A 17,978-nucleotide genomic window follows, 5' to 3' on the forward strand; every position below is an offset into this window, starting at 1 on the left:
TCTTAGAAAAAGCTGTTTCTTAGATATTGTCAACCTTCAAGAGTGACCAGAACAACGCTAATGTTGACCTCATAGTCCGCAGAGTATGAAAAGGCTTTTTTTTTTTTTTGAGACAGAGTCTCACTCTGTCACCCAGGCTGGAGTGCAGTGGCATGATCTTGGCTCACTGTAAGCTCCGCCTCCCGGGTTCACTCCAGTCTCCTGCCTCAGCCTCCTGAGTAGCTGGGACTACAGGCGCCTGCCACCACGCCCGGCTAATTTTTTGTATTTTTAGTAGAGATGGGGTTTCACTGTGTTAGTCAGGATGGTCTCGATCTCCTAACCTCGTGATCTGCCAGCCTTGGCCTTCCAAAGTGCTGGGATTACAAGCATGAGCCACCGTGCCTGGCCAGGGCTACTTAGTTTTATTGGAACAAATGTGTCTTATTTTTTAATCCGTCACTTAAAAATTAGATCTATGTCAAATAGTGCAATCTAGTAGCACCAAAAAAAAAAAAGTCTGTGGGGCTTGTCTGTGCTTTACCATATCAATATTAAATGACACTTATCCAATGTGTCTGTGTGTGTAGAACTTGCTATGGTGTGCACTACACAAATGGTATGCCACAAATGCTTGCTGACCCACTTACTTTGGGCATCTTTGGCATATTGGTTCCTCCTCTGAAAAGGCTGTGGAGCTTCAGAGTGTGTGGCAGGTCAGCCCCTACCATGTGTTGGAGCTGGTAGAGGACACTGTGTTGTTATGGGCTCTGCCCTACTTCTTGCCAATGCCTGGCTGGTACCAAAACCACACGATTAAGTTTGTGCTCATCTGTGATAGGAAACCTTGCCATTCCTCTTACTTAGATGTGGAAAAGTAGGAATTAACTTGTTGCCCTTTTGCTAATTAAATGTATGTTTTTACTTACTCAGATAGGATAAAAATTGAACACGTTTAGTTTATTTCGCCTAACTTGTATTCATTTTTAGGTCTTGGTGCCCAGACCGTACTGTTTTTCAAGCAAGAAAGTATATTGCAGATTCTTTGGAGGAGAAGTACACAGAACCAGTTATCTTAAATCTGGAGAAAACTTGGGAAGAAAGTGATACCCGGACACCTCTGATATGCTTCCTGTCCATGGGATCTGACCCCACCAATCAAATTGATGCATTGGCCAAGAAACTGAAACTGGGTAAGACTAGCAATCTACAAAATGTAGCAACACTTCCATATTTTTTTGCCCCAAATTTTGCCTTTCGTAATTTTATAACTGATTCTTAGAAATAGATGTAAAACTGAATTCGAAAAATATTAAACTTATTCCTCTTTCATCCTTTCATACCTCCTAAAGTGAGGGTATGATATAGGTATCTTTGTTTAGAGAAGAACATGCTCATCTAGCATATAGTGTTTTTTTTTTGATTGGTTGTGTTTTAAGTTCTAAGGAGATAGCTGTATTGCATGGATAGCTGACTAACAAGAATGAACACACAATAGCCAAAGTTTATGTTATTGCCATGTCTATATAAAATTACAGCAAAGTTTATTTTGTCACAAATTAAAAAACTATAACCATTATTGTAATGCATAGTAGTTAGGGATTAATTATTTCATTGCTTTCACTTAATAACCATTCAGTACAGGCAGTGTGCTAGATCTGGGGAGCACAGAGATGAATACAACACAGCTGGGAAAGACAGACACGTAAACATGTAATTGAAGGCAATGTGACAACTGCAGTAAATGTTTCATAGAAGTGGCTGATCACAGGATTCAGAGCTACTCGGATTGCCTGGGGTATAGGGGAAAACATCACATTGATGATATTTGAGTAGGAAATTAAAAAATAGATAAAATTTACCAGGTGGGGTGGTGGGAGATAGAAAGTTACTCCAGGGAGAGGAGATGGGAAAGAAGTTATAAACACAGAAGTGTTTATAAGTGTGACTGAGTCAGTAGGATTAAAGGACAGGGATGCAGAGCACATCTTGACAGGACTGAGCCATCCTGTAAGAAGGACTTTCTTGACAGGACTGAGCCATCCTGTAAGAAGGACTGTTTATCCCTTGCTTCATTCATACTCTGAAAATCGGAATGCTGTTGACATTGGCATTTGCAATCTTCTAGGGTCAGGTATCTGTAACTATACCTTGTAGGGTTAATCCAATCATGTCTTTTGAGTATTACAGTGATTGATTATGAATCACTAAATCTATCCTGTGAAGTAAAATTACATTAAATTTATTACATAGTCGACATAAGCATGATATAAAATCAATTCAGTCATGTCCACGTACTAGCCACATGTCCCTCTGCATAAAACCAAGCTACGGTAGCATGGTCCATGTTCATGTTCTCTTTTCTCATCTTGACTTCACTCTATTTGTTGTCACCACACTGTTCTATATTCTCAGTGGATCAGTGTTCAAATGGCCACGGTCTTCTGTCTGAACACTGATACCAATGCAAAGAGCTCCCAGGTTCTATTGGCAACTGCTCATGGTTAAGTCTCATTCGCTATCTTCAAAGTAGGCAGTTTTGCTCTAGTATTTACTGCAGCACACCAGCCGTCTGAGTTTATCTCAGAGTGATGCCTCTCGAGTAGCCTTATAGTTTGCAAATCTCTCTCAAATCTGTTGCTCTATGAGTGTTTATCCAGCTGCCTCTAAGCCTCACTTCTCTCTGCACACAGGTATATTTTTTCTCTCTTAACACTTACCATTCTTCTCCACATGGCAGAACATGTGGCTTCTAGTGGCTCATGGGCTTCACTGCTTACGTGCTCAGAATGTTCAGCACCCTCAGGGAAACTCCTCTTATTGTCATGGTTCCAAGTTCCAATATCCAGGGAAGTAACTCATTGTCTTTGCTTTGGTCATGCACTCCTTTCTGGGCCAATCAATGAACTGTCGCTCTGGAGATAGGTTCCTAGTAGAAACCTTATGTACAGAGCTGGAATGGGGGACATTTCTTAGAAGATACAACGCCTAGAAGAAGGAGTATTCAACTAGAGTTACCATTTCAAATGTTGTAATTTGAGAACATAATTAAAAAATTCAAGGTCTCCTTTGGGAGAAATTATAACTGACATTAAATGAATGCAGAAGGGCAGACTTGTGTTATATCCTTTAGTGTTATCATACTGCTTTGCTTGGCAATTTGGTGGTTTCCGTTTCTTGGTCCTACCTTACTTTTTCCAACAACAATCCAGGCTTCTATTGATTACTTTATTAGGGTACTGGAACAACATAGATTTGGCTTTAACACTGAAGGATCAAATGAATTTTATAAACAATTCTACTGCCAAATCATTTGAGCAGTATTAGGAAGTCTCAGGCTGCTTGCTGCTTTGGGTTGAAAGTCCCAAAGATAGCTGTTAAAATGGAACTATTACACATACCGAACAACATGTTAATGTAGTCTCAGCTATTAATATTTTATTTGAAAATCTGGATAATAAATAATCATAGAATGCTTCAGGTGAATGTGACTGGAAATCTTGAAATCCAATTACTTTTTTTTTTTTTTTTAACAGTTGGGGGAAACTATGGTCTGGAGATAAGGCCCCAGACCTAGTCCGTGGCAGATCTGGTTCAGAACTTATCTCAGGAACCCCACTTCAGTGATCTCATTGGTCTTTCTTTTTCATTCCTTCTCATTGTTTTCATTGAATGAATTAACCAGCTACCCGAAAATAACATACGGATGGGACAGAATCAATAAGTTTTTGTAGAAAAAGAGGAGAAGGGAAACTTTGGTTATAGATATTGTCTTGTACTGGTCAAGATCTGTAGTGAGAAATTTGGAGCAGATAAACTCTGCACAGAGTACTGGGTACATGGGCAAAGTGGAGAAAGCAGATGGGTTTAGCACGAGAGCCTTTCTAGGAGCCTGACTACTGGAGGAGGGAGGTCTCAGAGGAAGGATGGGCTTAAAAAGAACACCTAAAAACAAACGAAAGAGAACAAATACATAAAACCCCACAACCACACAAAAGTAGTAGTGGGAAAACTGATATAACAATATGTACAGATGAAACATTTTAACATTTTAAATAATAAGAGAATGGCTCATAATTATAGTAATAAATTACAGGCCGGGCGCGGTGGCTCACGCCTGTAATCCCAGCACTTTGGGAGGCCGAGACGGGCGGATCACGAGGTCAGGAGATCGAGACCATCCTGGCTAACACGGTGAAACCCCGTCTCTACTAAAAATACAAAAATTAGCCGGGCATGGTGGCGCGCGCCTGTAGTCCCAGCTACACGGGAGGCTGAGGCAGGAGAATGGCGTGAACCCGGGAGGCGGAGCTTGCAGTGAGTCGAGATCGCGCCACTGCACTCCAGCCTGGGCGACAGAGCGAAACTCCGTCTCAAAAAAAAAAAAAAAAAAAAAAAAAATAAATTACAGCATCTCATTAAAATTGGCAAATTTATAGAAACATATGAATTTAGAAAATTTCCTCAGAAAAGGTAGAAAACCCTGAATAAACCAATAATCAAGGGGAGAAAAAGTAGAAGTTTTAAAATTATTACATCAGCAAAGGCTCTAGGCTTGGATAATTTTCTGATAAGTCCTTTAAAACTTTCAAGGACTCTCATATGCTATATTCTGTTCCAAAAGATGGAAAAAGAGAATACATTTTCCTTTTTCTTTTGAGACAGGCTCCCACTCTGTCACCCAGGCTGGAGTGCAGTGGTGCAATCATGGCTCACTAAAGCCTTGACCTCCCAGGCTCAAGTGATCCTCCTACCTCAGCCTTCCAAGTAGCTGGGACTACAGGCACACACCACTAATCCTAGCCACATTTTGTTTTCTGTTTTTTTGTAGAGATGAGGTCTCATTATGTTTCCCAGGCTGGTCTTGAACTCCTGAGCTCAAGTGATCCTCCCTCCTTGGCCTCCTAAAGTGTTGGGATTACAGGCATGAACCACTTCATCTGGCCCATTTTCCTCTTTATTTGCATTATTCTGAAACAGTAAACCGACCCAGATAGTAACTGCATAAAAGAAAGAAAACTGGCTGGGCATGGTGGCTCATGCCTGTAATCCCAGCACTTTGGGAGGCCGAGGTGGGTGGATCATCTGAGGTCAGGAGTTTGAGGTCAGCCTGACCAACATGGCAAAACCCCATGTCTACTAAAAATACAAAAATTAGCTGGGTGTGGTGGCGGGCACTTGTAATCCCAGTTACTCGGGAGGCTGAGACATGAGAATAGCTTGAACCTGGGAGGTGGAGGTTGCAGTGAGCCGAGATTGTGCCATTGCACTCCAGCCTGGGTGACAGAGTGAGACTCCATCTCAAAAATAAATAAATAAATAAATGTAAGGATCTTAACTAAATCACAAGCAAGATGAATTTATAGTGATGTCAGCAAGATGTCTCATATCCCTCCACATATCCCTCCCTCATATCCCACCACCACATCAGGAATTCTGTATCCATCTACAGACAAAGTCTCTCTGCAGGAACCTCGGGATATAGGTAGAAGGTTGTGAAACCCTATTAAAATCCAAGACCTAGGAGGGTTGTTTTGAGAGCACAAACTGACACCCAAATGGCAGATCTGCCAATTGTGCTTCCAGGTTCAAGCCTAGAAATGGCCCTGCTCCCCAAGGAGTTTGGCTATAGCCCTTTTTGGCCTTGAGCCTGCAACTAAAACCAACTGCCAAGGGTTGTAGGTGGAATCAGGCACACTAGTGTCTCAGTGCAGAGGCTCGTCTGCCTGCCAACATCGATCTTGGCAGTGAACTTGAAAGTTGCCCTGTGGCTTGTCTCCAACCACCCTCAGCTGAGGTCCCAACTCAGAGCTAACTGTGCAAGAGCCCAGAAGGAGGCTTGCTCATATCTAGCAGACTGGGAGTCTGAGCCTCCATGAAGGGCTCATCAACCTCTGTACCCCAGCAGATACCAAGGGTGCCCACTGTCAGCTCTGGTCCCTCCTGCTGCAGTCAGGGAACTATCCTACCTGTGCAGGGATCTACTGGGAGATACATGCCCTTCTGAGCCAATGAGATGAGCTCTTCAGCCATCATCCTCCAGCAGATCCCAAAAGGGCCCAGTCTCAGCTCCAGTTCCTCCTGCTGTAGTCAGGAAACTAATTTGTGCAGAGACCTGCTGGGAGACACACTCCCATCTGAACCAATGAGGTGGGCTTGCCAGCTCTGCCCCACGTCAAGTCCTGAAGGGCTCCGGTCTCAGCCTTGGCTCCTCCTGCTGCATTTGGAAACTATCCCATCTGTGCAGAGACTTGCTGGAAGACAAACCCATCTGGGCCACTGGGACAGGCTTCTGGGCTTGTGTCCCTGACCAACTGTCTCACACAGTTCAGGCACATTGTCCCTAAAAAACAAAACAAAACAAAACAACAACAACAAAAAACTTGTTATAAATATCAGATTTTTTGGTAAGCCTCATGGTAACCACAAAGCAAAAACCTATATTAGATACACTAAAACTAAAAAGTAAGGAATCAAAACATACTACTAGAGAAAATCACTTAACCCCGACCAAGGGAAGACTGCAAGAGAGGAAGAATGGAAGAAGAAAGGATCTACAAATCAACTAGAAAACAAGTAACAAAATGGCAGTAGTTAGTCCTTACCTACCAACAATTACCTTGAATGTAAATGGATTAAAATCTACGATTAAGAGACACAGAGTGGCTTAATGGATTTTTTAAAAAAGACCCAGCTATATGCTGCCTACAAGAGACTCATTTTACCTGGAAGGATACACACAGACTGAAAATGAAGGATGGAAAAGATATTCTATGCAAATGGGCACCATAAAAAGAACAGGAGTAACTATGCTTATATCAGATAAAATAGACTATAAACCAAATACTGTAAAAGAAGGCCATTATACAGTGATTAAGGGTAAATACAACAAGAGTGCATGTGTGCATACACACAATGCACCCAACATCAGAGCACCTAAGTGTATAAAGATATATAAAAATTAATATATATATTAATTATAATAAAAGATATAATTAATAAAAATGTAAATATTAATAGACCTAAAAGGATAGACTGCAATACAATAATAGTAGGGGGCTTCAACATCCCATTTTCAGCAATGGACAAATCACCCAGATAGAAAATCAATAAAGAAACATTAGAGTTAAACCATACTCTAAATCAAATGGACCTAACAGACATTTACAGAACATTCCATCCAATAGTTGTAAAATATACATGTTTTTAAACAGCACATGGAACATTCTTGAGGATAGATCATATATGAAGCCACAAAACAAGTCTTAACAAATTAAAAAAAACTGGAAACCTACCAAGTATCTTTCTTGACCACAATGGAATGAAACTAGAAATCAGTAACAGTAGGAACTTTGGAAACTGTACAAATACAAGGAAAGTAAACAATATGTTCCTGAATAACCAATGAGTCAAAGAAGAAATTTAAAAGGAGATTTAACAATTTCTTGAGGCAAGTGAAAATGGAAATACAACACACCATAATCTATGGAATACAACAAAAGCACCTCTAAGAAGTTTAGAGCAATAAATGCCTACACCAAAAAAAAAAAAAAAAAAAAACAAGATCACAAATAACCTAATGTTGCATCTCAAGGAACTAGAAAGACAAGAACAAATTCAACTCAAAATTTGAAGGAAAGAAATAATAAAGATCAGAGTAGAAATAAATACAATAGTGTTTTGTTTTGTTTTTTTTTATGAAGTCTTGTTGTCTCCCAGGCTGGAATGCAGTGGTGAGATCTCGGCTCACTGCAAGCTCCGCCTCCTGGGTTCACGCCATTCTCCTGCCTCAGCCTCCCGAGTAGCTGGGACTGCAGGTGCCAGCCACCACGCCTGACTAATTTTTTTTTTGTATTTTTAGTAGAGACGGGGTTTCACCATGTTAGCCAGGATGATATAGATCTCCTGACCTTGTGATCCACCCACCTCAGCCTCCCAAAGTGCTGGGATTACAGGCGTGAGCCACCGCGCCCGGCCGATAGAAATTTTTAAAAGTACAAATGATCAACAAAATGAAGTGATATATTTTTGAAATGATAAAATCAGTACACCTTTGGCCAGACTAAGAAAAAAAGAGATATGACTGGAAAAAAAAAAAAACAGAGATGAAAAAGGAGACATCATAACTGATAACACAGAAATACAAAAGATCATTAAAGATTGTTATGAAAAATTACATGCCAACAAATTGGAAAACTTAGAATAAATGGATAAATTTCTGGACAAATATAACCTACCAAGACTGAATTATGAAGAATTAGAAAACCTGAATAGCCAATAATGAGTAATGAGATTGAATCAGTGATTAAGTCTCCCATCAAAAAAAAAAAAAAAAAAAAAAAGCCCAGGAACTGATGGCTTCATTATGGAATTCTATCAAACATTTAAGGAAGAAATAATACCTATTCTTCTCAAATTATTCCAAACAATTGAAGTGGCTAGGAATTTTTTCAGACTCATTCTATGAGACTAGCATTACTCTAATATCAAAACACAAGGACACAACAAAGAAAGAAAACTACATACAGGCTGATATCCCTGATGAACATAGATGTAAAATCCTCAACAAAATACTAGCAAACCAAATCAAACAGTGCTCCGAAAGATCATTCACATTGATTAAATGGAATGCAGGGATGTTTCAAGGTACATAAATCAGTAAGTGTGATATATGACAGTAATAGAATGAAGGACAAAAACCATATGATCATCTCAATAGACACAGAGAAAGAACTGGATAAGATTCAACATTCCTTTGTGATAAAAACCCTAAACTAATTAGGTATGAAGGAATGTACCTCAACACAATAAAGGTCATGTATGACAAACCCATAGCTAACATCATACTAAACTGGGAAAAGTTGAAAGCTTTTCCTCTAAAATTAGGAACACAACAATGATGCCTACTTTCACCACTTCTGTTCAACATAGTACAGGAAGGTCTAGCTAGAGCAGTTAGGCAAGAGAAAGAAATAAAAAGCATCCAAGTTTGAAAAGAGGAAGTCAAATTGTCCCTATTTGTAGATGACATGTATACAGAAAACCCTACAGATGCCACCAAAGAATTGTTAGGACTGAAAAACAAGTTCAGTAAAGTTGTAGGATACAAAGTCAATCTACACGAATTAGGGTTTCTATATGCCGACATTGAACTATCTGAAAAAGAAATTTAAAAAGCAATCCCATTTAAAATAGCTACAAAAAATAAAATACCTAGGAGTAAATTTAATTAAGGAGGTGAAAAATCTCTACAATGAAAATTATTAAACATTGATGGAAGAAGTTGAAAAGGACACAGATAAATGGAAAGACATCTTGTGTTAATGACTTGAAAGAATTAATATTGTTAAAATGTCCATAGCTACCCAAAGCAATCTGCAGATTCACATGCAATCTTTATCAAAATACCAATGTCATTGTTTATGGATAGAAAAAAATTCTAAAATGTATATGAAACCACACAAAATCCCAAATAGCTAAAGCAGTCTTGAGCATTAAAAAAAAAAGTTTAAGGCACCAAACTACCTGACTTCAAAATGTACTACAAAGCAATAGTAACCAAAACAGGATGGTAGTGGCATAAAACCAGACACTAGGCCAATGGAGCAGAATAGAGAAACCAGAGATAAACCCATGCATTTACAACCAACTTATCTTCAACAAAGTTGCCTAGAACATGTAATGAGGAAAGATCAATCTTTTCAATAAATGGTGTTGGGAAAACTGGGTAATTATATGCAGAATAATGAAACTAGACCCTATCTCTCACCATACACAAAAATCAAATCAAAGTGGATTAAAGACTGAAATGTAAGACCTGAAATTGTGAAACTACTATGAGAAAACACTGAAGGAAATGCTCCAGAACATTAGTCTGGGCAAATATTTTTTTGTGTAAGACCTCAAAAACAGGCAACCAAAGCAAAAATAGACAATTGGGATTACCTCAAGCTACAAAGCTTTTGCATGGCAAAGGAAACAATCAACATAGTAAAGACATAACCTACAGGACAGGAGAAAATATTTGCAAACTATGCATCTGACAAGGTGTTAATATGCAGAATATATAAGTAACACAAACAACTCAATAGCAAAAAAAAAAAAAATAATAATCTGATTATTAAAGTGGACAAGAGATCCAAACAGACATTTCTCAAAATAAGACATATAAATTGCAAAAAGATATATGAAAAAGGCTGAACATAATTGGTCATCAGAGAAATACAAATCAAAACTACAATGAGATATCATCTCACCCCAATTTACATGCCTTGTATGAAAAAAACCAGTAACACATGCTGGCAATGATGTGGAGAAAGAAGAACCTTCATACAGTATTGGTAGAAATGTAAATTAGTACTTTGGAGAATAGTATGCAGGTTCCCCAAAAAACTAAAAATAGAACTGCTCTATGATTCAGCAGTGCTGCTACTAAATACATATCCAAAAGAGGTGCAATCATTAAGAAAACTTTGAAAGGATTTTTTTCATTTTAAATATAAAATTTAAAAAAACGAAGTGAAATCAGTATATTGTAGAGGTATCTATCTGTACTCCCGTGTTTACTGCAGCACTATTCATAAAAGCCAAGATATAGAATCACCCTAAGTACCCATCACCAAATGAATGGATTAAAACATGCGGTACATATACACAATGGAATACTATTCAGCCATAAAAAAAGAATGGCATTATGTCATTTGTGACAACATGGATGAATACGGTGGGCATTATCCTAAATGAAATAAGCTAGGCATAGAATGACAAATACCACATGATCTCACTCTTGAGAATCTAACAAATTTGATCTCTTAGAATTAGAGTAGAATAGTGGCTACCAGAAACTGAGGGAGGGTAGAGGGGAGGAAGAATGATTTCTAGTGTTCTAGTGCACAGTAAAGTGAATAGTTAACCATAATTTATTTTTTAAAAAAATATATAGTCCAAAATATCTAGAAGAGAGAATATTGAATGCTCTGAACACAGGGAAATGAAAATTATGTTGTGACGGATATCTAAATTACCTGATTTGATCATTACACAATGTATACATGTATTGAAACATCACACTGTACCCATAAATATTTACAATCATTATGTGTCAATGAAAAACAAAATATGACTTTGAAAAGGAAGAATTCAATAGAACATCAAGAAATAACTTGCAAATAATAACGTGCCTTCACCAAGTTGGAACACATGGGCAAATATAAGAAAGATGCAGGATTAAGAAATCTCATCACAACAATAAGAGAAAAACTTCTCCTTAAGCTATCATACTGTTATCTTGATGGGTGCTATAAAAGCCATTTTATAAAAATTCAACACTTATATTTGACTTTTGAAAAGTAGGAACAGAAGGATATTTTATTTATATGATAATGATTATGAACCCCAAACATCGTGATACTTATTGGCGAACAACTAGAGACATATCCATTAAAGTCAGATACAGATGTCTGCTATTGCCACTGTTATTTAGCATTGTGTTGTAGAAGATATGGCTAATGTATTGAAAGAATCATAAATAAAAGATGTAACTACCGGAAAGGAGGGACAAAATCAACATTATTCTTAGACAATATAATTGTCTAACAAAAAATACAAATGAATCAACGGAAAAACTATTAGACTTAATAGTCTAATAGTTCAGTGAGGTGACTGTTTACAAGATAAATATATAAAAAATGATGCTTTCTTGTAAAATAAGATGTAAAACTCCTCTTCATTATAGCAATAAAAATAAAACTGAGAAATAATTTTTAAAATACTCATTTAAAGAAAACTATAAAACCTTCTTAGAGACATAAAAGTAGTTAGAATAAATGGAGAGGTAAGCCACATTCCCAGTATAGAGATTCAATGTTGTAAAGATGTCAATATTTCCTAAATTAATCTATAAATTGAAGCCAAGTCTAATTGAAACTCAAGCATCATTGTTTTTCTAGTTGGATAGTAGAGGGATATTAGAGCTTCTAGAATTGCAAATGGACAAGAATAGCTAAGAAAGCTTGAAATGGAAAAAAATAAGAATAATGGGGAACCAGCACCACCAGATTTTTAAAACATTATCAAATGCCAATAATTTTATCATTTACATTACAAACATTGATAAATATGGAGCAAAATGAAAGGGCCAAAATTAGACTCTTGTATGTACAATAGCTTAATATGTGATAAGATTTGCATTTCCAATCAGTGGAGGAAAAGTGGGTTAGACAGTAAACAATGTTGAGATAGCAGGTTAACTTTAGTAAACATAAAAGTTTTACCTCACATTAAACTCTAAATGTTAGGTCGATTAAGGCATTAAGTGCTTTAAAATAAACTATAAAACAAGAAAAAGAATATATTCAATTAGTTATATATTGTTGAGTGGCCAAGATTTTCTTAATCATAATACCTGAGTCTAAAACCAGAGGGACAAGATAGATAATATGACTGGAAGAATTTTAAAACATCTGTATGTTATAAAAAGGAATAAAATAATGGCATTTGCAGCAACCTGGGTGGAATTGGAGACCATTATTCTAAGTGAAGTAAATCAGGAATGGAAAACCAAACATATGTTCTCACTCATAAGTGGGAACTAAGCTATGAGGACACAAAGGCCTAAGAATGATACAATGGACTTTGGGGACTGGGGAGAAAAGGTTTGAGGGTGTGAGGGATAAAATACTACTTATTGGGTAGAGGGTACACTGCTTGGGTGATGGGTACACCAAAATCTCAGAAATCACCACTAAAAATCTTATTCATGCAACCAAACACAACCTGTTCCCCCCAAAACCTGTTGAAATAAAAAAAATCTGTATGTCAAAAGCACCATAAATAAAATAAAAGCACAAACAAAGAAACAAGGATAGGTGTGTAGGCTGGGGACTATAGCATTCCACTTCAGTGGGAGACACTGGGAGTCCTTTTTCTTTTTTTTTTTTTTTTTTTTTTTTTTTGTAAAGGACATATCATATTTATTCATACACATGCTGGAATTATTGGTGCAGACATTTAAATACATTTTCTTTGAGAAAGTCCTTTTTTTTTTTTTTTTTTTTTGATGGAGTTTCCCTCTTGTTGCCCAGGCTGGAGTGCAATGGTGCAATCTCAGCTCACAACAACCTCTGCCTCCTGGGTTCAAGCAATTCTCCTGCCTCAGCCTCCCAAGTAGCTGGGATTACAGGCATGCACCACCACGCCCAGCTAATTTTTTTTATTTTTAGTAGAGACGGGGTTTCTCCGTGTTGGTCAGGCTGGTCTTGAACTCCTGAACTCAGGTGATCTGCCCGCCTTGGCCTGCCACAGTGCTGGGATTACAGTCGTGAGCCACCACAGCTGGCCTGGGAAAGTCCATTCTTTTTTTTTTTTTTTTTTTTTAAATTTATTTTTTTATTGATAATTCTTGGGTGTTTCTCACAGAGGGGGATTTGGCAGGGTCATGGGACAATAGTGGAGGGAAGGTCAGCAGATAAACAAGTGAACAAAGGTCTCTGGTTTTCCTAGGCAGAGGACCCTGCGGCCTTCCGCAGTGTTTGTGTCCCTGATTACTTGAGATTAGGGATTGGTGATGACTCTTAACGAGCATGCTGCCTTCAAGCATCTGTTTAACAAAGCACATCTTGCACCGCCCTTAATCCATTTAACCCTGAGTGGACACAGCACATGTTTCAGAGAGCACAGGGTTGGGGGTAAGGTCACAGATCAACAGGATCCCAAGGCAGAGGAATTTTTCTTAGTGCAGAACAAAATGAAAAGTCTCCCATGTCTACTTCTTTCTACACAGACACGGCAACCATCCGATTTCTCAATCTTTTCCCCACCTTTCCCGCCTTTCTATTCCACAAAGCCGCCATTGTCATCCTGGCCCGTTCTCAATGAGCTGTTGGGCACACCTCCCAGACGGGGTGGTGGCCGGGCAGAGGGGCTCCTCACTTCCCAGTAGGGGCGGCCGGGCAGAGGCGCCCCTCACCTCCCGGACGGGGCGGCTGGCCGGGCAGGGGGGCTGACCCCCCCCACCTCCCTCCCGGGGGGGCTGACCCCCCCACCTCCCTCCCGGACGGGGCGGCTGGCCGGGCAGAGGGGCTCCTCACTTCCCAGTAGGGGCGGCCGGGCAGAGGCGCCCCTCACTGGGAGTCCTTTTTCATATGTTGTGAATTTTAAAAAAATGTTTGAATGCTGTATCCAAACTATTCTCCATGTATGAATTCCTCCTAAGAACATATTGAGAGACATACATCCAGATTTATATACAAGGGTGTTTAATCTAGTGCTATTTATAATACTGAAAAATCAAAAATGTCTTAAATATATAAAAAGGTATTGATTGAATGAACAAGAATGCATATGACATGATGGAACACCGTGCTGCCATTAAAAACTGTTTTCTGATAATATTTGATGACAGTAAAATATTCACAACATACTGTTGAAACGTAGAGATATAAAATAATGTATAGTCCGGGCATGGTGGCTCACACCTGTAATCCCAGCACTTTAGGAGGCTGAGGCAGAAGGATCATTTGAGGTCAGGAGTTTGAGATCAGTCTGGCCAAACATAGCAAAACCCTGTCTCTATTAAAAATACAAAAAATTAGTCGGGCGTGGTGGCACATGCCTGTAATCCTAGCTACTCAGGAAGCTGAGGCATGAGAATCTCTTGAACCCTGGAGGTGGAGGTTGCAGTGAGTCGAGATTGTGCCACTGCACTCCAGCCTGGGCGACAAAGCAAGATTCTGTCTCAAAAAATAAAATAAAATAAAATAAAATAAAATAAAATAAAATAAAATAAAATAATGTATAATACATATATGCATATATACATTTTAATATAGATAGGTCTACAAACCCTTGGAGTCAGATATGTTTCAGAAATCAGAATGTTCTGGTTTTTAGAAGGTGATATTCCATATATTATATAATACACTGCAGCTAAGATATAAATATTCAGGAAGATAGGGATAAATAAAGACTATAAATAGCCTCACATCTGTTTAGGTCAGCTTTTGCCTCCAAAATGATTTACGATTTTCAGAGCTTTCTGAATTTTGAAATGAAGGTAAGGGATTGTGGATTATGCATATTAAAAGGATTAGAATAAAGATCTCTAGGGAGGAATATTGGTGATTTTTATTTCCTTCTTTATATGCTCCTGTATTTTTCAAACCTTTTAATGTGAACATATATTATTTAATTAGAAGTAAATCCAAAAAAATAAGAAAAAGTGGAAGAGACACAAGCCTAATTTTGGAAAGGAATATAAAGGCAGTCAAAATTTTACTAAAGTCTTTCAAATACAAACAATTAAAACAAAACCTAAACCACCAAAGTGTAATTATACTGTATCACCTGCAGCAACACTTCCTCCAATGTTTCCTGCATACACGCTTCTCTTGAGAGTCCCCCTTATGATATCTTGGCAGTCTTTGCCCCCCACCTGTAAAAACTCAGCCTATGCTGTTTCTTGTCTCATTGGCCCCTTTCCTTCCTTGCGTGGGAATGTTTCTCACTTTTTCAATGCCAATCAATCTTTTTCTTCCCCAGGCCACTCAGAAAAGATATAAAATATTTATCACCTTATATTAAATGAAGAAAGATTACAAATTAATAACAACCTTCCACATTAAGAAACTTAGAAAAGAAGAGCAAACTAAACTCAAAGCAGTCAAAAGAAAGGAAATAATAAATATGCGAGCAAAAAAAGCCAGATAATAGAAAAACAACAAAGAATCAAGAAGTCAAAGGTATCTTTTTTGAAAGATCAATAAAACTGACAAATATTTAGCTAAACTAACCAAGAATAAAGAAGAGAAAGTGAAGATTACTAAAATCAGCAATGAAAGAGGGGCGTAACTACTTACCCAAATTTAAAAACTCCTAAGGGAATACTGTGAACAATTATGCCAACAAATTAGATAACCTAGATGAAATGGAAAAAATATTAGAAATAACTATTGAAACTGACTCAAGAAGATGTAGAAAATCTGAATAGAGCCATAAGAAGTATGGAGATTTATTCATTAATCAAAAAATTCACACAAAAGGAATCTTAGTCCCAGATGGCTTCATTGGTGAATTCTAGCAAAATTTTAAAGAATAGCACTAGTTTTTCTCAGCTTTTCTAAAAAATAAAAGAGGAGGGAACACTTTTCAACCCATTCTGAGACCAGTATTACCATGATACCAAATGCAGACAAAGACATCACACATAGAAAAAACTACAGACCATTATCCCTTAGGCACATAGAAACAAAATTCTCAACAAAGTATTATCAAACCAAATGCAGCACCATATAAAAACATTATACACTATGACCAAGTGAATTAATCCCAGGAGTATGAGATTGGTTAAACATATGAATATCAATCAATGTAATATACCATATTAATAGAATAATAGACAACAACCACATGATCATCTCAACAGATGCTGTCTTAGTCTGTTTGAGCTGCTGCAACAAACTACCATAGACTGGGTAGCTTATAAGCATAGAAATTTATTTCTGATAGTTCTGGAGGCTGAGAGTCCAAGATCAAGACCTTGGCCGATTCAGTAGCTGATAAAGGCCGGTTTCCTATTTCATAGATGACTTCTCATTGTGTCTTCACATGGTGGAAGGAGGGCATCTTTTATAAGGTCACTAATCCCACTCTTAATACCTTGTCACTTCCTAGTACCATCACTTTGGGGTTTAGGTTTCAACATATGAATTTTAGGGGTACATAAACATTTAGTCCATTGCAGATGCAGAAAAGCATTGAAAACATTGATAAATATGGACTAGCAAACTAGGAATAGGAGGAAATTTTCTCAACCTGATAAAAGGCACCTACAAAAAACTCACGGTTAATGTCACACTTAATGGTAAAAGACTGAATGCCTTCTCCCAAAGATCAGGAGAAAGACAAGGATGTCTACTCTTACGACTTTTATTCAGCATTGTATTGGTGGTTCTAGATAGGGCAATCAGACCAGGCAAAGAAAAAAAAAAACCATCTACATTGGAAAGGAAGAAGTAAAACTGCCTCTATGATTGTGACATGAATTTGTGCATAAAAAATTATAAGTTGTTTACCAAAAAACAATTAGAGCTAATAGATGAGTTCAGCAAGATTGTAGGATACAAGATCAATATTTAAAAGCTATTGTATTTCTATGCACTAGCAAGAACAATTCAAAAATGAAATCATAAACACATTACAATTCCTTTACAATATTATTAAAAATAAAATACTTAGGAATAAATTCAATAAAAGAAGTGGAAGATTTGTACATTGAAAACTAAAAAACATCATTAAAAAATTAAATACCTAAATAAATGGAAAGACATCCAGTGTTCATGGATCAGGAGACTTTGGTAAAATGCCAGTACTCATCTAATAGATCAAGAGATTTAACTCAATCCCTATAAAAATCCCAACAGCCTTTTTTAAAAATAGAAATTGACAAGACGATCCTAAAATTTGTATGGAAATTCATGGGACCCAAGATAACTAAAACAATCTTGAAAAGAAAGAACAAAGCTATAGGACTTATGCTTCCCAAAATCAAGACTTACTACAAAGCTACAGTAATTAAAACAGTGTGATATGGGCATAAAGATATATATCATTGCAAAGAATATATATCTCAATGCAGAATTGAGAGTCCAGAAATAAACCCAGCCCTCACATATTATGGTGAGTTGGTTCTCAACAAGGGTTCTAAGACCATGCAATGTTGGAAAAGACAATCTTCTTAACAAATGGTGCTGGAAGAACTGATATGCATTTGCAAAGGAATGAAGTGTGGTTTTTACATCACAACATACACAAAAATTAACTCAAAATCAATCAGAGACTTAACTGTAAACACTAAAACCATAACATACTTAGTAAAAAAAATAAGAGTAAATCTTTGAGGCCGTGGATTAGGCAATGGTTTTCTAGATATGAAACCAAAAACATAAGCAATAAAAGGAAATATTGATAAATTGGACTTCATCAAAATGTAAAACTTTGTGCTT

At 37.5% G+C, this 17,978-nt stretch overlaps 1 protein-coding gene and 1 long non-coding RNA gene across 9 annotated transcripts in view; one reads left to right on the forward strand and one right to left on the reverse strand.

Moving 5' to 3' along the window:
- The window catches only part of DNAH8-AS1 (DNAH8 antisense RNA 1), a 46,613-nt gene extending 43,854 nt beyond the window's left edge, over positions 1-2,759 (reverse strand). Inside the window, exon 1 of the long non-coding RNA NR_038401.1 lies at positions 2,700-2,759. This is a non-coding gene — a long non-coding RNA (DNAH8 antisense RNA 1). The remainder of the gene's footprint in view (positions 1-2,699) is intronic.
- Positions 1-17,978, forward strand: part of DNAH8 (dynein axonemal heavy chain 8) — a 315,482-nt gene that overhangs the window by 235,038 nt on the left and 62,466 nt on the right. For 7 of the 8 annotated variants that reach the window (XR_926078.3, NM_001206927.2, XM_011514319.3 and 4 more), the window contains one exon: positions 970-1,172. Coding sequence is in view for 7 of the 8 variants with exons in the window: in NM_001206927.2 (NP_001193856.1) it covers positions 970-1,172 (203 nt within the window). In the remaining variant the exon portion in view is untranslated. Of the gene's footprint in view, positions 1-969; positions 1,173-17,978 lie in introns of those variants that run through there. The other variant, XM_017010326.2, reaches the window with a different exon arrangement.

Source organism: Homo sapiens, chromosome 6 (assembly GCF_000001405.40).
Source record: "Homo sapiens chromosome 6, GRCh38.p14 Primary Assembly".
In the NCBI taxonomy this organism is placed as follows: Eukaryota; Metazoa; Chordata; class Mammalia; order Primates; family Hominidae; genus Homo; species Homo sapiens.